The 25,554-nt window shown below is 36.4% G+C and overlaps 2 long non-coding RNA genes across 2 annotated transcripts in view, besides 1 other annotated feature; one reads left to right on the top strand and one right to left on the bottom strand.

The window, feature by feature from the left end:
- The window catches only part of DSEL-AS1 (DSEL antisense RNA 1), a 383,074-nt gene that overhangs the window by 250,382 nt on the left and 107,138 nt on the right, over positions 1-25,554 (bottom strand). The gene's annotated exons all lie outside the window — the stretch shown is intronic.
- Positions 12,219-12,918: an enhancer, noted in NCBI's record as "H3K4me1 hESC enhancer chr18:65303557-65304256 (GRCh37/hg19 assembly coordinates)". NCBI's record gives its function as "activates a minimal SCP1, AML or CMV promoter by ChIP-STARR-seq in naive H9 embryonic stem cells {active_cell/tissue: H9 hESC(naive)}" and the evidence as "EXISTENCE:reporter gene assay evidence [ECO:0000049][PMID:30033119]".
- The window catches only part of LOC105372174 (uncharacterized), a 36,647-nt gene continuing 36,438 nt past the window's right edge, over positions 25,346-25,554 (top strand). The window contains exon 1 of the long non-coding RNA XR_935590.3: positions 25,346-25,450. This is a non-coding gene — a long non-coding RNA (uncharacterized LOC105372174). The remainder of the gene's footprint in view (positions 25,451-25,554) is intronic.

The raw sequence follows: 25,554 nt of genomic DNA, 5'->3' as shown, positions 1-25,554 counted from the left end.
TTTAGTGATCTTCCTACTCTAGTAATGAAAATCTTAGCAATCATTTTCAGTTGGTACTCACTCTGTTCACTTTAGCATATCTGAAAGAGTCTCTAACTTGGGAATTTAAAAAATACAAAGAATAATTGAAAATATTTGGAATCACACTGTGCATTAATAAATATAACTTTATATAAACTATATATTTTATCAGTCAATTTTGCTTATAAAATTATATATTAGGTAAAAAATGGGGAAGTGTTTCTAATATAGTCCAGATATAAAACCATAGCATAGAACATTTTATTTTCTAAATATGTTGTAAGGAAGTGTTGCATTCCTAGAAGAGAGGAGCTGAGAAACTTGCTGGTCTTTAAAGGTGCAGTCTGGACTCACTTCCACTTTGCTCATGTATGCTGGTGAATTTTGTGAGTCAAGGTGATCAATGACATTTAGAAGAATCTGATTCTTTACAAATACTCAAAGTTTATTCTTTTAAGAAAGTATGTATCAGGTATTATTAAATTCTAATATCCCTAGTTTTCATTAATAGTGAAGTAGTAGTTATATACAGGTATAGTGACCCTTATTTGAAATGCTTGAAACTAGAAGCATTTTGGATTTTGGATTTTTGTGTGTGCATATTTTGAATATTTGCATATACATAATGAGATATCTTGAGGACAGAACCAACATCTAAACACTAAGATTAGTATGTTTCTTATGCTGCTTATACATACATTGCCCGAGAGTAATTTTATACAATATTTTAAATAATTTTTTGTGTGATACAAAGTTTTGACTGCCCTTTGGCTGACACCCATCACATGAAGCCAGGTGTTGAATTTTGCATCTGTGGCATCATCTAAGGGCTCAAAAAGTTTCAGATTTTGGAGCATTCCAGATTTTGGATTTTCAGATTAGGGATGCTCAATGTGTATCATATTTACCCCTTATGATCTCTGCTTTATCATGTTGAGTTCCTCTAACTTCACAACAGGAAGAAATAATGCATTTTTTTCATTTGTAAACAGGAAGACCAGACAGTTTATGCAAGAATATGGCAATTAAAATAATTGTCAGTATTAATGTAAAATATTATAATGTAGTAAATGGTACAATTACATGTTTTGTAATGCAAATGGCATATGGAAAAATATCTATTGAGACATACACTTAGATTTTCATTCCAAATATGCTATATTTGACAATATATAGTAAATTTACACTTTATATTATTCTGAATCATGATAGATAAATCCATAAATATTAATTAAAATTAATTTTTGTAGAACTAAGATTAATTTTATGCTTGGTTTTTAATAGCATTTCCTAATATGTACTGTATAATGTAGATTTATGTATCTTTAGTCTTTTTAAAATAACATTGTGGAGGGGGGAGGGATACATTAGGAGATACACCTAATGTAAATGACGAGTTAATGGGTGCAGCACACCAACATGGCACATGTATACATATGTAACAAACCTGCACGTTGTGTACATGTACCCTAGAATTTAAAGTATAATAAAAATATATATTTAAAAAATAAAATAAAATAACATTGTGGTAGGTAGAGAAAAACACTGTTCTATGTGATATGTGTTGTTAATGTGATTTATTTCAGCTTTAGAAAATAAGTGTGTGTGTGTGTGTGTGTGTGTGTGTGTGTGTGTGTGTGTGTGTCATGAAGCAGCATAGCCTATTGAGAGAGAATCCTAAACTGAAAGTCAGTAGCCTTGGTTTATTATCCCAGCTCTGCCCCTAACTGGCTGCTTTATCTTGGCCAGACCAATCACATTTGAACATTTTGGGGTTTTTTTGTCAATTAAACCATCTCTAATATTATAGTTGCCTGTGGAGTCACTGTATTGTCTAAATGAATCTGTAGTATCTAAGGTCAAGAGTATTACTGGGAATGTTTAAACATTTGCTTTTCAAGGCATAAATGTGTTGCAATTTTTTCTATAAAATAAACTCTATCTGAAATAATATAAAGGTTGTTTTATTGTTCTCTTTATTCTTCTTTCAATGTCTGTCCACAAGAGCAGTTGGAGTACATTTCAAATTTGATCAATTCAGTCCAGTGGTTTCAAGGTTCACCAAAATATTGACTCAAACAAAACATCTGCAAAGGTGTAGGGTTGAGCAATGAATCTAAGAATGGAACTTTGGAATATCAAAAAAAAAAATTCACCCATTAAAAACACAGCGACAGCAGCACCTCACCACGCAATCAGCAAACACTGAGGTAGGGCAGGGAATGAAAAGTCTAAGACATCTGTGTGCAGGACATCAGAAACCAAAATGGAGAGGGTGTTTTGGATTCAAGAAGGCTGAGAATGAGTACAAATGTGTTCTCAACTTATGAACAATTAGGCAAAAGCAAAATGCAGAGAAACTATAGACATTATCCAGGAGCAAAGAGCTGGGTACTGGTTTAGATCCGAGAGAAGATTCTGTCTTACATCAGGCCACTTATAATCCAAGCCTGGCTTCAGTAAAATGCTTTTTGCTTCCATTGTTACAGAAGTTTGTCTGACACAATGTTTCCATTTTCAAATTTCAAGGACCATCAATCACAATTGTTGTTTTTAAAAAATAATTTCTACTTTTATTTTAGATTCAGGCAGCACATTTATAGATTTGTTATGTGGGTTTATTTAATGACACTGAGGTTCGGAGTATGAATGATCCTGTCACCCAGGTACTGAGCACAGTATCCAGTAGGTAATTTTTCAATCCTTTCCCCTCCCTCTCTCTCACACCTAGTAGTGCCCAGTGGCTCTTATTTTCATCTTTATGACCATGTGTACCCAATATTTAACTCACACAAGTGAAAACGTGGTATTTGGATCCCTGTTTCTGCATTAATTTGATAAGAATAACAGTCTCCAGTTGTATCCATGTTGCTGCAAATAACATGATTTCGTTGTTTTGATGGCTGCGTAGTATTTCAAGGTGTATGTGCACTACATTTTCTTTATCCAATACACTGTTGATGAGAACCAAGCTAGGTTGATTTCATGTCTTTGCCATTATGAATAATGCTACAATGAACATACAAGTGCATGTGTCTTTACTGCAGAACAATTTATTTTCCTTTGGGTATAAACTCAGTCATGGGATTGCTGAGTCAAATGGTAGTTCTCTTTAAAGTTCTTTGAGAAATCTTCAACTGCTTTCCACAGGGGCTGAATTAGTTTACATTCCCACAAACAGTGGATGAGTATTCTTTTTGCTTCACGTCCTTGCAGCATCTGTTATTTTTTTACTTTTTAATAATGGCCATTCTGACTGATGCGAGATGGTATCTCATTGTGGTTTCGTTTTGCATTTCTCTGATGATTAGTGATGATGAGCATTTTTGCATATGTTTGTTGGACACTTGTACGTCTTCTTTTGAGAAGTGTCTGTTCATGTATTTTGCCCACTTTTTAATGGGGTCATTTTTTTTGCTTGTTGAGTTGCTTAAGTTTCTCATAGATTCTGGATATTAGACCCTTGTCAGTTTCATAATTTGCAAATATCTTCTCCCATTCTATAGGTTGTCTCTTTACTCTGTTGAATTCTTTTTGCTCTGCAGAACCTCTTTAGTTTAATTAGGTCCCACTTGTTAATTTTATTTGTTTTTGTTGCAATTCCTTTTTTTTTTTTTTTTTTTTTTTCTGAGACAGAGTCTTGCTCTGTTGCCCAGCCCAGGCTGGAGTGCAATGGCATGATCTCAGCTCACCACAACCTCCACCTCCTGGGTTCAAACAATTCTTGTGCCTCAGACTCCCAAGTAGCTGGGAGTACAGGCCCATGTGCCACCAAGCCTGGCTAATTTTTTTGTATTTTTAGTAGAGATGGGGTTTTGCCATGTTGGTCAGGCTGGTCTCAAACTCCTGGCCTCAAGTGATCTGCCCACCTCAAACTCCCAAAGTGCTGGGATTACAGGTGTGAGCCACCGTACACCAACTGCAATTGCTTTTGAGAACTTAGCCCTAAATTCTTTGCCAAGACCAATGTCGAGAAGGGTATTTCCTGGGTTTTCATTATCCTTGTATTAAATGAACAGTGTCACAAGGTTTAAATAACCTAAAGTCAACAGAAGTGTAATGATATTACTTCTATCTTTCTCAACAATAAAATAAGATCTCATAGGTTTTTGGAAACTGTGACTTTAAGCAAAATGATGTATAATGAAACCAATTTTACCATAGGCTAATTGATATAAACAAGAGCTAAGTCCCTATGGCATATTTCTGGTCACAAAAAAATCACCAAACTTCTAAACAAAGACGCAAACACTTTTAATATTAAATATTGGCGTTGAAATAAATGTGAGCTATATATACATTTAAGAAACACTCATAAAAACAAATAAGATAACTATTTGCCCAATTTTTGGTGAATCAGTGAGTGAAGCCAGTCATAATGGTGGTGGGTTAAATCGAGGAATTAACATGTACAATGCAAGGATTGTCAGGAACACCTCAGGCCACCACACAGTTCAAACACAAACAGAACAAATAGGGTAGATTCACTGAGAATTTTCCCTAATGCATGGTTTATTGTCATGTGTATGTACAATGACTGTATGTTAACAGTTCTTTTTTTAATTTTACGTAATTTGTATTCTTTTTTTCTTTTTTTTTTTTTTTAGACAGGGTCTTGCTCTGTCACTCAAGCTGGAGTGCAACGGCACAATCTTAGCTCACTGCAGCCTCAACCGCAGAGCTCAAGTACTCCTCCCACTTCAGCCTCCTGAGCAGCTTGGACTACAGGCATGCACCACCACACCTGGCTAATTTTTTTTTGAGATAGGGTCTTGCTATGTTGCCCAGTTTGGTCTTGAATTCCTGGCCTCAAGTGATCCTCCTGTCTCAGCCTCTCAAACTGCTGGGATTACAGGCCCACACTGCCACACACAGCCCATTAATCTATTTCCTAACCTTCTTATTCCAGTTCAGGTTCACAGGTATGGGAGTCTCTCCCAGCAGCTCAGGGTGACAGGCAGGAACCTGCCCTGGACAGATTGCAATTGCTTGCAGGGCCGCCCCACAAACACCCCCATGGCTCACTCAGACTGGGACCATGCAAATACACTAAAGACCCTAACGGCATGTCTTTGGGATATGGGAAGAAGCAGAGTATCTGGAGAAAACCCAGGCTGACCTGGAGAGAACATGCGAACTCCACACAGACTGTGACCCCCAGACAAGAGTCAATTTTTTTTCATCAAAAAGATATTGAATAATAATAATTTTAAAATGTTATTTGAGGACCTGCTGTACAGGCATGACAAAAAAAAAACCAAAGTACAAAATATAATAACCATAGTAACATAAATTGAGTGCTTATACAATAAAATGCCAAAAGTAACAATAGCAATAATAGTGATGAACCTCTATTGAGTGCTTTACCCATTATCAGGCAATGCATTAAGAGCTGGCTATGCAAACAACACACCTGCCATATTATCTGAACATATGTTCGTCTCCAGAAAATCATGGAGCCCAGACCAGGCACGAAGGCTCACACCTGTAAACCCAGCACTTTGGGAGGCCGAGGGGACCTAGACTCCCTTGAGATCTGGAGTTCGAGACCAGCCTGGCCAACACGGTGAAACCCCATCTCTACTAAAAATACAAAAATTAGCCAGGCACGGTGGTGGGTGCCTGTAATCCTAGATACTCAGGAGGCTGAGGCAGGAGAATGGCTTGAACCCAGGAGGTGGAGGCTGCAGTGAGCCGAGATCATGTACTCCAGCCTGGACAACAGAGGGAGACTGGGAAGGAAGGAGGGAAGGAAAGGAGGGAGAGAGAGAGAGAGAGAGAAAGGAGAGGAGAGGAGAGGGGAGGGGAGAAGAGGGAAAAGGAGGGGAGGGGAGGGGAGGGGATGAAAAATTATGGAGCCCAAATCATGCAGTAGAGACTAGGATGCCTGAAGCACTGGATGTGAGCTGCTTTCTGGAGATATATATGCAGGAGGTCAGCTTGTGTTCTGAGCAGCCAAGCTGCAGGGGTTCAACCTCAATCAAGCTCACCCTTACCTTTCAGTGTTTAAAATGCAGTTTATCATTAAATCTCAAAATCCTAATGAGATAGGTGCTATTATCAGACTTAATTTCATATATGCAGAAGCAGATGCTTACAGCATTGAAATACCTTTGTAATGTATTACAGACGCTCAAATACAAATTTGAATCTGGAACCCAGTTGTCTTACACCATAGTTTATGTTTTCATCTTCTTAGATTAATCGCAATTTTGTTAGAGACTATATTTCTCTCTTGACAAATACTCAGGAAACAAAAAAGTATGAAACATTTATAGTTGGTTTCATTTGCTAGAGATTTTGTTTTCATAAATTTCACCCAACTTTATTCTCTCCTACCCTTTCCATTATAATATAGCTAGATAATATTAGTTACAACTACAAATATACAAATATGTAGATACAGCTTCTATATACCTACAGCATATAAAATACGTTTGTCTCTGGAAGAAATGCATAAACATTAATTTAGTGATTATTATTCTATCTTTTCTTACTCTAGAAAATAATCTTTTCTAGAGTAAGAAGAGTTCCAGCATAAGAGATTACAAAAGGATTTTCTGCTAGTTTTTTGTTTATATTTTTTAGCTACATAGTAGTATAATACATATATTTATGAAGTACATAAGATATTTGGATACAGGCATACAATGTGTAAAAATCCTGTCAGGGTAAATGGGGTATCCATAACCTAAAGCATTTATCCTTTCATTGTATTACACACAATCAGATTATGCTGTTTTATTATTTTAAAATGTACAATAAATTATAGTTGACTATAGTCATCTATTGAGCTATCAAATATTAGATCTTATTTACTCTTTCTAACAATATTTTCATACCCATTAACCATCCTCACTCCTCTTAGCTCTCCACTATACTTCCCAGCCTCTGATAACCATCATTGTACTCTCCATCTCCATGAGTTTTCATTTCAATTGTTTTCATTTTTTTGGCTCTCAGAAATAAGTGTTCTTACTACCTCTATTGGCTTGGCATTCTCTGAGATTTTTAATATTACTCTTGAGACATTTCTTCTCAATGCATACTAACCATGCCATTGTTTGTAAGACAAACATTTTCTCTCAGGTGAGTTTCTCATCACAGATTCATTCTCTCTCTCTCTCTCTGTCTCTCTCTCTGTCTCTCTCTCTCTCTCTCTCTCTCTCTCTCTCTCTCATATCCTTTGATAAAATTTTGAAGGATGTTAATGGTAGTATGAGAAGGGTCAAAATGTATTAGAAAGAAACACCTACTTTCTACCTAAAAAGTCTTCAGGAAGAAAACCTCTCCTGGCTGAGACCTAAAGATTGTTCCATATGAAAAATTCCTTCTGTTGATTAACTCACCATTTTTGCTGCCTTCTTATTGCTGCATGCACCGATTGCTGGAGCCGTGGTTATTAAATACCCAGAGTAAATATTTTAATCTTATTCAGTTAGGTTTGCATTGTTTTGTCATGGTTTCAGAAAGGGATTTTTTCACCAACTCCAGGCTGTAGTTTCCATAAATGTCATCTTAATTGACATCGAAAGAAAATTGACAGGTTGATGGGTGCAGCAAACCACAATGGCACGTGTATACCTATGTAACAAAATTGCACTTTGTGCACATATACCCCAGAACTTAAAGTATAATTAAAAAAAAGAAAAAAAGTCCCAGTATTTTACTTTTTTTTTGAAAAAAAAAGATGGTACTGTTAAATCAAAAGGCCATGCCAGGTCTGCTGCCATGACAAGAATAGGCAGAGAGTGTCTTAAGGATTTTCTTTCTGCCTTTTTGGATTTTACTGACACTCTTTTTCAGCAACACAGTTAGCAAAGATTATTTTAACCATCCAAGGAAAAATAGTAGATAGTTCTAGTTCTTCCGATTCCTCAGCTTGTGAGATAGAGAAACACAACTGGCTACCTCTACCCATTTATATTATGTTTCTGATACGAGGGCACTTACACAGGCTATCCCCATCACCCAGCCTCTCCTGAGAGAAAACAGCTACTTCCCATGTTCTTTTCTCACACTGTCTTAAGTTTCTAGGACTGTTGACAAATCACTGTGAGCTCATTTTGTCACAAACACCCTACCTTTCCTCAATGTAACCATTCCAGAGCACACCCATCTCCTAGTCTGAGAACACGTCTGCTCCACTAGCCTAGCTCACTTATCCCATAGTCATAGAGCATACATGTCATCAGAGTCAGAAGTTCTTCCACTTTTGAGGTGGAAAAACTGCATGAGCGTTACCCAGAGAAATCTGAGCCAGGTGACCTACCAAATGATAGTACTATAGGACCAGAACTGAGTTTCTTTGCACATTTGATACACCACAATAAATCTTAACCTATTTCCTTGGAGTTGATTTCTTGGGAACGTGTATTTTAAACTTAAAAGTATTCACTGTCACTAGGAGATAGTCAATTATACAGACATATTTTGTTCCATGTGTTTAGATTTATTTTAAATGACTTGCATTCTCTTTTCACAGAGACACCATTCCCTTATAAAGTGACTCCAAATGTTGTATTTGTTCCTATTAATGCTAAATCTCTGGAAAATACATCATCATTCTGCTGAAATCAGATTTCTGACAAAGTCTTTCCCATTTTGCCTGTCACTATGAGTTAGCTGGGTAATTCCAAATTATTCCCTATCTATTGGTTCAGATTTTCCTTTCTTCTTATCAGTCTTGTCAGAGGAACAAGATTCTTTTGCATACATTTATTTTCTGTTTTACCTGATTGCAACTTATACTCCATCTCTGAATCCTGTCGGTTTTCAATGTGTCATTTTCTGTCAACAGTGGGCTTATATATCACCCAGAACAATAATTTTACATTTCTTCAAGTTTTTCTATTTTGTTCAATAAGATTACCCAATGTTTCCCACTGAAAAGACACTTTACAGGCATAGCACCATTTATCATGTAAAATGTTTGATAGTACAATGCTGTTGATGTTTTCAATTGTTGTAGCTTGTGATTATACAATCTACATTTCACTACTTCAGTATTTCAAATTTACAGACTTCTTTCCTAAATATTTTATGTTTATATACTGGTTGCATTTCTCAGAAAACATTCACATGCATTATTTTATTTGTTCATCACAATACCCAGTGAGTTAGGCAGACAGAGCAGATGGTGTGGGAATCACTCTTTATAGATGTGGAAGCTCTGACTCATGGAGGTTATGAGTGACAAAGTCACTCGGTTAGCAAACAAAAACACAAAAGTAAATTATATTATTTTTTAATATAGTAGTAAAATGATTTTGTTAATTATCATGCTCCCTACATATCAGGTCTACTGACGGCAAAAGAATGTGTCTTTAGAGTTATGAGGAAGGGACGTATTACTGATGGATGAGGGTTTTGGAAATAAAATAGAATTACTAGCTATAAGTAAACATGAAAGAAGATTTACAATTTCGATAGTAAATAAACAATAGCACGCCTTGAATTTCATTTTTTAGAATCAACTATTATCTTTCTATCTATATTCGTGCATTTTTCAACGAACAGTTTTTCATCGCCTACCATTTGCCCAGATTCTGATGATATACGGGTGAGCAACACCAAGACTGAAGACGCAAGACCTTATGTTCTAGAAGACAGATCACAAAAATAAAGTATACAATATTTTAGCAAATGCAAAGTGAAAAAAGAGGAGAAAAAAAGCAGAGGAAAAAAAATGAAGACAGAGGTGGTGCTTAGGAAGATAAGGCAAGGTCCTTCTGAAAGGTGGTATGGGAAATAATTTAAACAAGGAAAAAGCAAGCCATATGATAGTCTGAGGAATAAGCTTTCAAGGCACACTTCTTTAACTTGAATACATCCTACCTGCTTGGAACACTGCCATAGTGTTATCCTTTCCTAAATCTGTCAAAATAGCATAAGAAGAGGCAGAGATTACATTTTTGGGAAAAGATGATCAGAGCTGGAGTTTGTTAACTAAATGTGTATTCTTTTGCGTTGTCCCATTTACATTAAGTGAGCATTTTGTTTATAAAAATTGAGTAATATTACCACTGTTAATTCCTTGATTTGCGCTAGGTGGAAGACACGTGCTCCCCTTAATCCTCAGCAACCCACTTGAAGGTATCACTTTATAGATGATATAAATGTGGCTCAGAGAAGTTAGGTGACTTGCTCTTGATAACTCACTGGGATGCCAGACTTCCATGATTATTGGACAGTTGTCTGGAGTTTTAAATGCTGATACTTGCACTTAGTTCAAAAACTCTTTGTTACGGGGTAGATTCGGAAACTAAGCACTTCTAGTGTAGAGGTAGTCACCACGTCTAAAGATATGGTTTTATTGGAGAGTGACTTACGCATTTGTAAATATCCATAATGCATGTGATAATTGTATTTTTTACAGTAATAATTCATGACCTTTGGAAAAATGCTAACAGGTAAGAAAGAAATTTATAATTACTAAAAATTATGTTATCAGCTAAAAATAACTTTTATAAGAAACTAATGAAGTAACCTATATTTCCTCCAAGGCTTTTTTGTACAAATATATACATATAAAGTAAATACATTTTTATAAAAATGAGTTCTTTTATATACTCCATATTACTTTTATTGAGGCTGTGTCTTTAATAGAGCTTTTATTTTTATGTTTATTATACTGTATTAATCTTGTAGTATTTAAATAACCAATTTCCTATTTCTAGACATCTAAGTTGTCTCCAACTTTTGTTTTATAATGAATATTGCTGTCTATTTCCATATACAATATTCTTCACTTATCAAATTATTTACTTCTATTATATTTTTCCTGCTATTTCATTGTGATCCATTCTTTTCTTCTGGCTGTTTTCAATAACATAAGAAACTTCCTCCCATCCCAATCATAGCAATGCTGAAAAGTTACATACTTTACTTAGGTGATGGACACATGTTTTATTATGAATTATTATTATTGGTAGTAGTAGTAGTAGTAGTAGTAGTAGTAGTAGTAGTAGTAGTGGTCGTCATTGTCTTTCCTCTGTAAAGATACATTGGTTTGGTTGGGCGCAGTGGTTCACATCTACAGTCCCAGCACTTTGGGAAGCCGAGGCGGGCAGATCATGAGGTCAGGAGTTCGAGACCATCCTAGCTAACCAGGTGAAACCCCATCTCTACTAAAAATACAAAAAATTAGCCGGGCGTGGTGGCACGTGCCTGTAGTCCCAGCTACTCAGAGGCTGAGGCAGAAGAATCGCTTGAACCCGGGAGGTGGAGGTTGCAACGAGCCTAGATCGCACCACTGCGCTCCAGCCTGGGCGACAGAGCCAGACTCCATCTCAAAAAAATAAAAAAAGATACATTGACTTGTATGACATATTTCTGAATAATTTTTAAACTCAAACTAACTTCAAATTTCTAGCAAATATAATTGGCAGGTAAATGGGGATTATGTTCTTAAAACACAGCAAATATGCAGTTCTATTTCTTTCATCTCTCTCTTTTTCTATAGTGCCTTTCTTCATTTACTCTAAATTTTCTCCCAAATCCTACTTGCATTGATATTGACTTTACTTCCACATCACCTTCCACATCTATTCATTCATCACCTCAGTAGGTCTCTGTCTCTTCAAAAGTGATTCAATCCAAAGTTCCCGGATATGTCTCATTTCTCTCCATATACAGCCAAGCCCCAGGTAATGAGATGACAAAGACAAGATTCCTCTCAATGGCTAAGGAGTTAAAATGGCTAAGAAATTCATATGTTAAGATGTTTAATTCTCTTCCAAATAACATCTAAAATATCTTCATAATGATAGCACACCATAGAATCGATACGGGAGAGGGGCAGGGAAGAGCTGGGTAGAGAACTGCAGAGTCCCTGGTGAGGGCTCCACCCTCGAGCCTGTGCCCACGGACCTAAGTGAGGACAGGCACTTCTATTTTCACGGCCACATGTTGCATTTTCCAAGACCACTCTCGCTCGCCACGCCCCCCATCTTGTGCCCATATAAACCCGAGAGACGCTAGCGGGCACAGACACACAAGCGGCTGGACGTCGACGGGGGCAGAGGAGGAGAAGAGCACCCCGACAGAGGCTGGCTGACCATCGACAGCAGGATGATATAGATGACGTGGAATTTCGCAGGGACGGTCAGAGGACAGGCCTGCAGCTGGGGGGCCCAACTCCAGAGGAAGATCACCTTCCCACTCCATTCCTCTTTGGGCTCCCCAACCACCTGGCTGAGAGCAACTTCTATCACTCAATCAAACCTTGCACCCGTCCTCCAAGCCCACGTGTGCAATCCGATGTTTCCGGTACACTAGGGCAAGAACCTGGGATACAGAAAGCCCACTGTCCTTGCAACAGGGCAGAGGGTCTAATTGAGCTGATTAACACAAGACGACTGCGGATGGCCAAGCTGAAAGAGTACACTGTAATACACGCCCACCAGGGCTTCAGGAGCTGTAAACACTCAACCCTCGACGCTCCATGGCGTAGGAGCCCACGCTTTCCACCACCTGCCCATCTGCCAGCTCCCTCTAAATGTTTGAGCAGTGTGGCTCAGAAGAAGGGAGCCACACGCCCGTTGCACGACCTGTAAGGAGAATAAGGGAAATCCTCCCATTTCAGAGATGAAAAATGTGAGAGGATTTCTGGAAACAGGAATCTGATATAGAGGTTTGAGGTGAATAGCTAGTGGTTGTGAAATTGTATACAAATCATAGCCCGATTTGACTGCACTGAAGTCAAACCTGACAACTAACTAGGGTAAATTTGTAGTTGGAGAAATACCTCTCTTAAATACAGAATTGGAAAGTATTGGAGATCTGAAAGCATGTGCTTTGTAAACATTTTTACTCCAAAAAAAAAAAAGCCGGAAAGCAATACAAAAGTAAACACGAAGAACAGCACTAAAAACTGTTCATACTTCCACTATATTTCTTTCTCCCTTTAAATGAATCTAAGAAATATTTTTCACATGCAATCTATTTGAAAAAATCAATGATTAAGCAGGTAAGGATCTTCATGCAAGTGATAGGATTCTTGAATTAAAGACCTATTTGAGTTTCTCTTAAAAGTATAACACATTGTACTAATTTTTTCAGAGTTAAAAACTATAGGAATGTACACTTATGATAAAGTCAGAAAGGTAAAACGTAAGTGAAAACAGGGTACAAATATTAATACAAACCTATTTGAAATTTGGCTGTAAGTATCTATAGAAATCTTTCAAGGGAGGCAAGTCATATGCCCCAAATGTGAAGATCTAAATCTGAAGAACTTTGTACCTCATTTGTAATTCTGAACTTACTTACACATATGTTACGCACATATGTGTAAGTATGTATAATAACTATGGTTATCTGATTATCATAGAAAACTACTGGTAGTAAGAGAGATTGCTATACAAAAGCTAACTACAAATAAATATCTATAATGGAAGCAACATATAAAATTACAAATCAGACAAATATTTTTCAGTGAGCACTGTAGTTTTAGGTAACCTATCAACAAAAATCTAACACTATTAGAGCCACCCTGTAATTTAACAGTAGAAAAACTTTTATCAGTAGTGATTATACTAAGCAACCAAGAGAACTATTAAGTTATCATTTGTTTATTTCAAAAGTAGCAGAAATATACTATCTATTTTGGTAATATATCTGTTTGCAATGGATAAAATAAGAAAAAGTTTAATACTAAAAAAAAGTAAATCTTCAGTTAGCTAGAAAGCTTAGCTTACAGAATTATTTCCTAAAGGTTTTGAGAAGCAAAGATTTCATTTAATGGAAAATAATTTGAATAACAATAAAATAATAATATGCCACAAGGAAAAACATGATTAAGCCCTTGAATGAAATATATGGCAATTACTCTAGGTGCTCAGAAAAACATCAGTGTGATGAGAGGTTGACACTTATGATAGTTTTCAACTAGGTATTGAAGGATAGAGAAGATTTGGATAGGCAAATAAAAAAAAGAAAATTTGATGGGAGGTTGGAATTGCAGATGCCTTATGCAGAATTTTAATAACTGCATTGCATATTTGAGAGGCAGAGAATAAAAAGCAATAGCTGACACTTAAGAGTGTTCATATGTAGGAATGGTGAAATGTACGAACAGGTGGGAAGAGTCTTTGAAATGCAAGGTTGATGTCCTTTGCATTTCAACACTCAGGAAATAAGTTATTAAATGCTTTTCTTTATAGAGAAATGATGCAATAAAAACAGTACTAGAAGAATTGAAGGTGGCACTATTTAAGATGGGGAGAAATTCAATTGGTATAAAATGTACAGGGAAAATAATTTTGCAAGGAACAAGACTATCAAGAAAGATATTAATAGTAAGCTAGCATGAAATTGACAGTTTCCATGGGAATAGAAGGCAGGGAACACTTCTCAACCCCTGGAGTGTTCAGACGTGGCCCCACTTGTTTTGCAAATTAGGAATCTCAGAGAGAAGAGGCCAGTAACTTGCCCAAGGTCGCATCCCTAATCAATGCTGAGACCAGAGTAGCGTCCCAGTTCTCAGCCCAAAGATATTTTCTGTTTTGATACCTTTTCAAATTAGATTTAATTTTTTTCTAGAAAGCATTACCCTTGAGAAACCTGGCCAGAAGCCAAGAAATTGAGATTTCATTTCCTGAAATACCCAGAATTGTTTTCTTATTGCCACTTAACCTGACTGTGCCTTTTCCTACACCTCTTAAAGTACTAAGAACGTTTCTGCTAGATAATGTTTGTTGAGGAGAAATGCCATTTTTCTAAGAATGAGGCAGTATAAATATGACTTGCAAATGTAGCCTGTTGTGAAATACACAGAAATTGGACAATTTTCTTCATGTTGTCATGGATTTTTTCATGATTATAAAAGGAGATGTACATTATTCACAAAAATATGTTTTTCATAGTATATCAATTTAATCTCTAAGGAAACTTAGGTTTCCACTAAGCCAGCAATAAATTTGTACTAACAAAATTAGAAGATGAATGCATATAATTAAAAAGAACAAAAGGGATGTTATACAGACCATTTCCAACCTTTTATTGTCCAGTAACACGTACCTTCCCTTTTCTTCTTTTGCTGTGCTCCTCCATTCATTTACTTTAGTGCTGCGTCAGCAAAGGTCTTTTCATGAAAGCTGAACTAAGTCTGTTTTCTTCCCTGAGTTAAGATGTCTTTAACCTGCTTTTTGCCAACACCAACACATTTTACCCTTTTTAGCGATTTGTTCTGTTTTCTATTTTGATCAGATTTTATTTGTGACAACGTAACCCGTTCTTCTGTAGGCATTATGTTTTGTTTCCCTCGGGCTTAGCTTCAATTATTTCTAAGATTCTTTCTTGGGGTTCCCTGTTGGATTATATCTCATTTTATGTTTATGCTTTCATTTGGTAATACCGTTTGGTTTTATGATTGATTTTGCACCCCTAAATTCCCAGAGTCCCTCATGCAAAGTGAATGTTTCCTTCGTATCCTCAAGACAGTCCTCAAATAAAGTGCAACACTGATAATCTAAAAGGGGTCAGCAAGACGGACTTCAATGGCCTTTTCTCTGTTCTTTTAAAGCCATGTTTTTCCCCCAGGTGCTGTGTTTCTCTAATAGAGTTTTCAATTTACTTTATGCTGTTGTCTTTTTGTGATCTAGAAAGAGGGAGTATGAAATAAACCAAAACAGAGATTCCTATTAGAGCAGTACTTCGAGACACTGTTGTTATTATTGAACCCTGCTACGCTTTTATATTCTAACCTTTATTATTGCAGGCACATTTGTGGTTTGGTGCTTAATTATCTTGAAGAGTTCAATACAAGGAAAGGATCAACTTGACAGGTAGACAGGTCAAAGCAATGGAGAACCTCAGAGAAAGTAGAATTAGAGAGACAAGCTAGCTAGCTAATGCCTGTGACTAGGTAGTCTGTCAGCAGATAAGAGGGCCCTGGGCACCCATCTAATAGACTGAAGATAGAAAGAAAGACAAGATCCACATTATCACAGAATAGGCTACTAATACACATATGTAGGGACGTAGACACAATAATTAACCGAAGACAAAAACAAAACTAGGCAATAGCCCAGTTATTAAAACTAGAATATACATTAGAATGGGTCTTGAGAATATGAGAGTCTCCCAGGTGTGGAATTTGGGTCACAATAATTTGAATGGTTATTAGTCATGGAAACCTGACCATGATGTCCCCGTAATAAGCTGTTCATTATTTCCTATTTTTCTAAGGTCAGGATTGGCCTAGAGTCTCGTGTGAGTCTAAATCTTCAGATGTGTTGAAATGTCCTAAATGCAGTCAGAAAAGGATGGAGAACTGACTACCTGGACATATCATGAGAAAGCATTCAATTTAAATACAAAGTTCAAGACAAAATGCAGAGGGAAAAACTACAAAACTAACTTGAAGAATAAATAAGTACTGGCAATCAAATTAAAACATGGAAAACATTAAATATGAGAGAATTATTCTAGAGTTCCCCTGATGAAAAATCACAACCATTTTCAATTAGTCTCTATACCACGAAAGACTACCGTTTGTTGGGTATAATATATTATTCCTGGCAATCTGACAGTACTTCATGTATAGAGTAGTATGTCGGGGTAAGCAAATGCAGCCATCTGTGCATGAGTCTCTTCCCACTATTTCAAACAAACAGAACTGGAACAAGCTTCGCACAAGTAGGCCTTTTGGTTGTCCTGAGTCCATGTCCAATGTGTATGGCCCTCTGGCCTTAACAGATTACCTCACGAGAGCTGTGAGGATGCCGGTAAACTGTTTGAGGATGTGGGTATTAAATTCCACAGTGTGGGTTTCACATCAAGATACTCCTCTTACTAGCCACATGACCTTAACTTGGAGCCTCAAATTCCTAATCAATAAACTGAAAAGTACATAATCTGCCTTATGAGGATTATAAAAGAGGACATAAGAAAAGTGCTTGGGGCATATTAGTTGCAAAATAAAGTGTAGTTTTTCTTACCTTATGTAAGTATGAAATATATTGAAGGATTAAATATCTGTTCCTCCCTCTAAATGACAAAGGTGACTGCTTATGAAATAGTAGAACTCGCCAAAAAAATCCCAGACAAAAATACTATCCAGCTTAACACTAAAAGATCCTCCCACTAAAAATCAACAGCCCCGTTTTTTGCTACCTCTTACTGCTAACAGGCCTTCCCTATTGTTCTCTCAATACCCATGGCTCCCAATGGTAACCACAGCTGACCTTGGCAATGGATCCAGTGATTTGCAGAACTGTGCCCCTTCTCTGTCAGTGGTTGTTTTTAGTGACCACAATAGTGGTGGAACTGGGTTCTTTTCGTGACAATGTCTATTCAAACTCATTTATGCATTGAAATGCTCAAAATATTTTTGAGCAATTACTATCGTTCTGGTAGAGTTTTAGATTCGTAAGCTGCAACAGTAATAAAAGCAAGCAGAGTTCTAACTCTCCACAGTCAGATGAGGGACCCAACATTATCTGCCTATAAAGTAATAACTAAATTGGAAGTTACTTAATTTTTACATAACAGGTAGTCAAAAACAAAAGCAGCAGAGGCCTTTATAACACCTCTATCCTATCATTAATCTCCCAGGTCACCCTGTTCTCCATCGATGTCATTGTTATGGTATGGTTTTTATCCTCATTTTCTTTATTTTTATTTTTAATTATAAATTGACAAATTATAGTTGTATATATTTATGGGGTACAAAGTGATGTTATAGTTTATAACACAATGTGCAATAATTAAGTAAAGCTAATTATCATACTCATTACTTCAAATAGTTATTGTCAGGCCTCTGAGCCCAAGCTAAGCCATCATATCCGCTGTGACCTGCATGTATACGTCCAGATGGCCTGAAGTAACTGAAGAATCGCAAAAGAAGTGAAATTTAAATGGCCTGTTCCTGCCTTAACTGATGACATTCTACCACAAAAGAAGTGAAAATGGCCGGTCCTTGCCTTAACTGATGACATTACCTTGTGAAATTCCTTTTCCTGGCTCATGCTGGCTCAAAAAGCTCCCCCACTGAGCACCTTGTGACCCCCACTCCTGCCCACCAGAGAACAACCCCCCTTTGACTGTAATTTTCCTTCACCTACCCAAATCTTATAAAACGGCCCCACCCCTATCTCCCTTCACTGACTCTCTTTTCAGACCCAGCCCACCTGCACCCAGGTGAAATAAATAGCCTCGTTGCTCACACAAAGCCTGTTTGGTGTTCTCTTCACATGGATGCAAGTGAAAGTTATCATTTCCGTGGGGAGAACATTTGAAACTTAGTGATTTAGAAATGTACAATTCATTATTATTTACTATATTCGTCATGCTGTGCAATGCATCTCAAATAAAAAATACCTTAGTCCTTCTGTCTAACTGAGGCTTTGTACCTTTTGACAATCATCTCCCCAATTTCCCTACTCACTCAGACTCTGATAACCATCATTCTGCTTCTTTGAGTTTGATTGTTTTAGATTCCATATATATAAGTGAAAACATGCAGTATTTGCCTGGCTTATTTCATTTAGAATAATGTTCTCCAATACCAAACATGTTGCAATTTATACATTTTTTCTTTAAGTCTGACTACTATTTCATTGTGTGTATATATACCACATTTTCTCCATTCATCTGTTCTCAAACAACCCGCTAAAAAGAAAATAAATAATTTGACTAAAAAATGAGCAAGAAACCTGAATAGACATTTCCCCAAAGAAGACATACAAATTACCAACAGATACATGAAAACACTGTTCAACATCCCTAGTCAGTAGGAAAATGCAAATTAAAAGCACAATGAAATACCACCTCACACCTATGAGTGGCTATTATCAAAAAGAAAAAAAGATAATAGTTAGTGAAAATATGGAGCGAAGGGGGCCCTTGTATTGAATGTAAATCAGTACAGCCATTATGGAAAACTGTGAAGGTTTCTCAAAAACTAAAAATAGAACTACCATATGATCCAGCAATCCCGTTTCTGGCTATTTACCCAAAGACTTGAAGTCTGTGTCCAGGAGATGTCTGCCCTCCTATCTTCATTGTAGTGCTATTCAAGACAGCCAAGTTGAAGTATTCTCATTTTCTTAAAATAGCTTTTCCAACTACCATTTTACTTCTCTATTTCAGGTAGGAGAAAAAGAATAACAAGAAAAGGAAGCTACGTGAGGAAAGCAAAACTTTCTGAAAAAGGCCCAGCATATAGATTTAATTCTCATTGGTCAAAGTGTGTTGCCAGGCTACTGTTCTGCAAAGGATGCTGGGAATGCAGTGTTTCAGATGAGTACAGTGCTATTCCAAAGAAAACTAGATTTATTTTAATAAGACAGAGAGAGTTGGTAGTGAGTAGACAACCAGCGGTTTCTGTCACATCACGCATCACCACTGTGGAGATAAGAACCTAGTAAAAACAAAGTAGTTCCACGAGCTGGTCTAACCTAATTAAATAATTCTCCATATCAACTAAGTCTTATTCAAGAATAGTTAGAAGTGCAGATTCAGGAATCTGACTTACGAGTTACCCTAGCTTTGCCATTTCTTAGCACTGTGATTTTGGACAAGGTATTTAACCTGACTTTCTCATTTTTAAAAATAATAATAGACCCTGGCTCATGGTGTTGTTATGAGGATTGATTAGATGTATACAAGTTGGGCATTAAAACACTGACTGGAACTAACAAGCATTTACAGTATTCACTGTATTTCATATTAATCAAGTAACCTATATTTGTATTACTCTGGTTTCCCACATATATTTCTCTACTGGACAAAAAAATGCATGGACCATTGATGGGATTAATTCGTTTTGACCTTGTTATGTCTTCATTGTACTTTAATCCATTTACTTCTCTAGCGTTTCTGTTTTCTGTGAATTTAATAACAGTGCATTTGAGGAAACCAAATCAATCTGTCCAACATAAAATTTCTGAACCTGTAGAGCTGAGAAACGAGGTTCTCAGTGGAGTAAAAGCAATCTGCAAGGCTTGGACCCTTAAATTGTAGTAATAATAACCAGCATATTGCTTGTCTCTTTTTCAACTATGGGAAACTTATATTCCTTTTATTATCTTCTTCTTATAAATACTTATGAGGTCTTAATTAACTCTCTCTTTAAAAGGCTTTAAAATATTCAGCCCAAAGACCCACAATAAGCCAGAGGGTGATGGGAGGGGTGTTGTCAGTTCTGCAATTCTGAATCTGGTTCTGCCACTGAAGCTCTGGTGGGAAATCTACAATCTACTCTCAGTCGTTACGTTTCCGGACAGCTGCAGAATACCCAATATGAGCCCTTAGCTACCAGACACTTTGCCCTTTTCAAGCCCATGGCTATCTCTTTATTGCATTACAGTTGCACAACTCTAAACCAATGAGTTTTCTTGAGCTTGAATTACTACTAGCTAGTGACGTAAAAACTGGGGAGAACAGAGAAGCATGTTTATTTTTTTTTTCCTCTTTAGAGATTGGCCTGACAGGCCGAGTGCAGTGTCTCACGTCTGTAATCCCAACACTTTGGGAGTTGAGGCGGGTGGATCACTTGAGGTCAGGGCCTCAAGACAAGCCTGGCCACCATGGTGAAACCCCATCTCTACTAAAAATACAAAAATTAGGCCGGGCGCGGTGGCGCACGTCTGTAATCTCAGCGCTTTGGGAGGCCGAGGCGGGCGGATCACGAGGTCAGGAGATCGAGACCATCCTGGTTAACACGGTGAAACCCGTCTCTACTAAAAAATATACAAAAAAATTAGCCGGGCGTGGTGGCGGGCGCCTGTAGTCCCAGCTGCTCCTGAGGCTGAAGCAGGAGAATGGCATGAACCCGGGAGGCGAAGCTTGTAGTGAGCCGAGATTGCGTCACTGCATTCCAGCCTGGGTGACAGAGAGAGACTCCACCTCCAAAAAAAAAAAAAAAAAACGAAAAAAACAAAAAAAATTAGCTGGGTGTGGTGGCACATGCCTGTAATCCCAGCTACTTAGGAGGCTGAGGCAGGAGAATTACTTGAACTCTGGCATTGAAAGTTGCAGTGAGCCAAGATCGCATCACTGCACTATAGCCTGGGTGACAGAGCAAGACTCCATTTCAAAAAAAAAAAAAAGAGAGAGAGAGAGAAAGATTGGCCTGAGCTTTGGAATAAGAGTTACTTAATTGCCCTTTGGTTTGAAAAATCTCAGTTGCCAATTCCTAAGTAAAGATCACCATGTGCTAACTGAAAATTACGTATCTTGAATTCTAGAATTCAAGTGTGAACAATTAGCCATCGGGGACACTTTCTTTCTTACCACTTCGTCATAGGTAGGAGTCATTCAGTATTTTTCAATAAATATTATAGGCACATGGATGGGACAATTCTCCATTGTTTAGAATTCCTGGCCTCCAATCACTAAGTGCAAATGTTCTGTATCAGGTAGCTATTGCTGCATAATTAACCACTACCAAATACAGTGGGGTAAAATAATAAATATTTCTCAGGCTTTGAAGGTTATTTCTGCTAACTCTGCTGATCCCAGATGGGCTTGCTCATGTTAATTAGTTGTCTCTGCAAACAGGAAAGACCATGAGATACACATATACATACACATACATATGTACATATATAAATATACGTATGCTTTATATACTTCTATGTATTTAACAAAACAGCATAACTGTATGTGTTTTTCCACAACTTGTGATTTTTACTTGGTATTTTAAAAAAAAATTTTAATTTATAACTTTCTGTGGTTAACTATCTGGGTTCAACCGAGTTTTCTCATCTAGTTTTGTGATTTGGCCTAATTATTTAATTTTTATAAGCTTCAATATTCCCATTAATGAAAGAGTACAATAGCTACTACCACAGGATAAAATAAAATCCTCTATATGAACCCTGCATACAGTCTGACACATAATAAAGTTTGTTTTGTTTTGTTTTTTGAGACTGAGTCTCAGTATTTTCTCTCAGGCTGGAGTGCAGTGACGCAATCTCAGCTCACTGCAACCTCCACCTCCCAGTTCAAGTGATTCTTCTGCCTCAGCCTCCCAAGTAGCTGGGATTACAGGTACCCACCACCATGCCCAGCTAATTTTTGTATTTTTAGTAGAGATGGGTTTCACCATGTTGGCCAGGCTTGTCTTGAACTCCTGACCTCAGGTGATCCACAAGCCTCGGCCTCCCAAAATGTTGGGATTACAGGCGTGAGCCACTGCGCCGGGCCATAAAGTTTTAATAAGTGTTATTAATAACCACTGAGGCTGATAGGCTTGTCTAGGATATTCAGCAATAAAAGAAATGCAACCATTTTCAACATTTGGCACATAATGAAGTTTCAAAAGTGTTATTGATAACCACGGAGACTGATGGACTTGTCTAAGATATTCATCATTAAAAGAATTGCAACTATCTTCAATATTTCAATAGTAGGCTAGTTTCTGCTTAGTTCTCTTTAAAAAACATTATTAAGTTTATAACTTCACACTTACAGAGAAGTTGCTAGCGTGTTTAGGTTTCTTTTAGATTTCTTTTATCACTGATTTTATCAAATCAGGGACTTCCTCCCCTAGATTAATAATAGCTGTGGCCTATTTCTTAAAGTCTGTAAAAGGTTCAGTATTTAGGAAGCTTTTGTTTCTTGGCATTTTTTTCTTTCTTAAAATAACTCTTCTTTGTCAATAATACCATTTTTACAATGAAAGATTTGATGTTTTTATTATTTGGAGGAGTTACATTGGAATTAGTAACTAAAGTTTTTGTCACTTTTCCTCTCAATCGAAAACTCTCATTTAAACAGTTTTCCTTTTGTGTTCATCACACTTTCTTTTACCACATAGTTTTCTGTATTTTTAAACATTATTGTTGACCCAAGGCAAGAAAAATATAAAAAATACTTTTTAGAAAATAAATATTATACATTTGGGGGTTAACCTTTCTACTTTGTCAATAATTCATTAATGGTCAATGTTTAAGCAACAAAAAAACCTTTCACTTCATTTTAATAATATTCAGCTTTTGATTTGAAATAACTCTATCTTAAATTTTTTATTATTTTATTTTGTTCTAGAAAATGATGTTGCATTTTAAAAGTCTGATCCCAGTCTAATTTGCTTCCCTTAGCTAATCATTTTTGTTTGCCTTTATTTTTACTTTTATGCTTTCAGAAAAAAATGAGAACTTTTTTTTATTTTCTTGATTTTTGTCCAAAATGTGCTTTGTTTGTTTTGTTTTGATCCTTCTCTTATCCATGTTTAGCATTCTGTTAATATTTTCAACCTGAAAACTTTTTTTCAGCTTAGCAATTTCTTCTTTAAATATTTGATCATAAACTATTAGTAATTATGGAACTACTAACTTTAAACTTCTTGACTCTTAATTTTATATACATACACTTTTTCTTATTTATTTATTTGTCTTATATCTTTCCTGAAATCATCCTTCTGTGCTATCTTCAGAATCTCTGATTGCCTTGAATTTTCAACTATTATTCAGCCCAGATATATTTTACATATTTGAATGCTATATTCTGATTTGCAAAAAAATCCACTTGTTTCTCTTTTATAATAATTTTATGCTTGAGATTTATGCTCTTTTATAATAATTTTCCATATTCTCTATATGATCTCTGAGGTTAGCTGTTGTTACTTATTTTGTTTTGTCATTATTGTTGAATTTAGAGCATTGTTGGATTTCTAAAAGGCCGGGCTTTCTGTTTACATTTATGATTGGGCATCCCAATTGATCAACTATCAATATGATCAGTATTGATAGACAGACTCTCCTGCCTTAGTAAAGGTAAAAATCTCTTTATCCTGGCAGTGAATTGATATTTTTCCAGGAAAGGGAGAGTGAAACAAGGGATTGGAAACATTAGGCTCAGTAGGATTTTCTTTAGGATATGCAGATAACTTGTCTTCCAGCTGCCAGTATCATGGCCCATGGCAAGAGTGAGGATAGGAGGAAACTGCTTCAAGGACTCACCTGGGAATTTCCTGGGAATAAACTCTACTTTAGATAGTTGTACTTATAGTGCTTTAACCTAGAATTAAAAATGCAGTGTCATTTTTTTCTGCAAAGAGGTATACAGAGATTCTCATAGCCCTTTAATGGTGTAGCTAAGCACCTGACTCCATTCATGGGATGAGTCCCAAGATTTTCTAGGAAAACTTCCTGTTTTCAAAATTTCTCTCTTATACTCAGTGAGTATCAGAAAATCCATAGTTCTTAGAGTTTTGCCAGCAGTCTGATCCCACTAGATATATATTTTACAGGGCACCTTACTCTTCCTTTTTAATTAATAGCACAATTCCCAGATTTCCAGTGTTGTGATGGATTTATTTTATTTCATTTCAATGGCAAATGGTAAATACATTTCCACAAATGTGTTTATACTTATTCATTAAGGTTATTTTATATTATTTGAACATGTATAGTTTATTAAAAGTCAAAAAACATGACAACTATAAATATCCTTTTATCAGAGTTTTAATCTAATACTACCAGATACTCAGAAATTTAAACTTCGAATCTATGTCCTTTTCATTTGAAATTGGTTAGTTCAAACAAGATGGCTTAGTCTGAAATGAGCTTTTTTTCCAAAAGTTGACATAAGTAGAACCTCTGAAATTTATGTTTCCTATGTACATGTGTGTTAGCGAGTTACAAAGGAATTCCCTATGACCTCATAATAAAATTATTTAAATCTGTTACTTAAAAATGTATTTTATTGTGACATTGAGTTTTAGGTAAAGTCGTTTTTAAATAATCACAGTGCAATAATAACAAAGTGGTTATTAGAGATCTTCATATTAATTCTCCTGATTTGCAGATGAAGAAACTCAAAACCCTCAAGGTTGAAGAAATGATGTTAGTCACTGGTAGAGTACCTGTATTAAGCTAAGCTACTACTCTATAAATTCTACCCAAAAATAAAATTTCTGGGGCAACTTAGGGGATTAATACAAGGTCTACTTTTTCTTAATCCAATCCAACGTAAACTTAAAATCAAGTTAATCTAGTTACAATTATATTTTCAAAAGTGTGATTATATTTATATATTTATTTGTTCATTTATTTATTTTTGTGTATAGAGACTACTATTCTCTAAAGTTTTATTCTGGGAAGATTGAGTTCAAGAAATTTGAGTACTAAAGCCTTTCGGTTTATTTAGCTCATGCTATGGATTGAATTGTGCCTCCCCCCCAAATTCATATGTTGAAACACTAAAACCCACTACCTCAGAATGTCACTGTATTTGGAGATAGGGCTTTTACAGAGGTAAATAACTTAAAATGAGGCTGTAAGGATATACTCTCATCCAATCAGATTGCCATCCTTATAAGAAGAAGATTCTAGAACACATTGAGAGATAGCGGGTGTGAACATGTCTTGGTGTCTTGTGAGGACACCAAGAGGGCAGCGTCTTCAGGCTAAGCAGAGGCGTCCAAGGAAACCAGCCCAGCCGGTGCCTTTATCTCCAACTGCCAGCCTCCAGAATGGTGAGAAAATAAATTTCTGTTGTTTAGAACACTGCACCCAGTCAGGCTAACAAACTAATACACCAGGGGACATCAACTGATATAATTATAAAAAGAACCTATTA

This window comes from Homo sapiens, chromosome 18, assembly GCF_000001405.40.
Source record: "Homo sapiens chromosome 18, GRCh38.p14 Primary Assembly".
Taxonomy (NCBI): Eukaryota; Metazoa; Chordata; class Mammalia; order Primates; family Hominidae; genus Homo; species Homo sapiens.
This window is presented reverse-complemented; position numbering and strand designations above follow the sequence as displayed.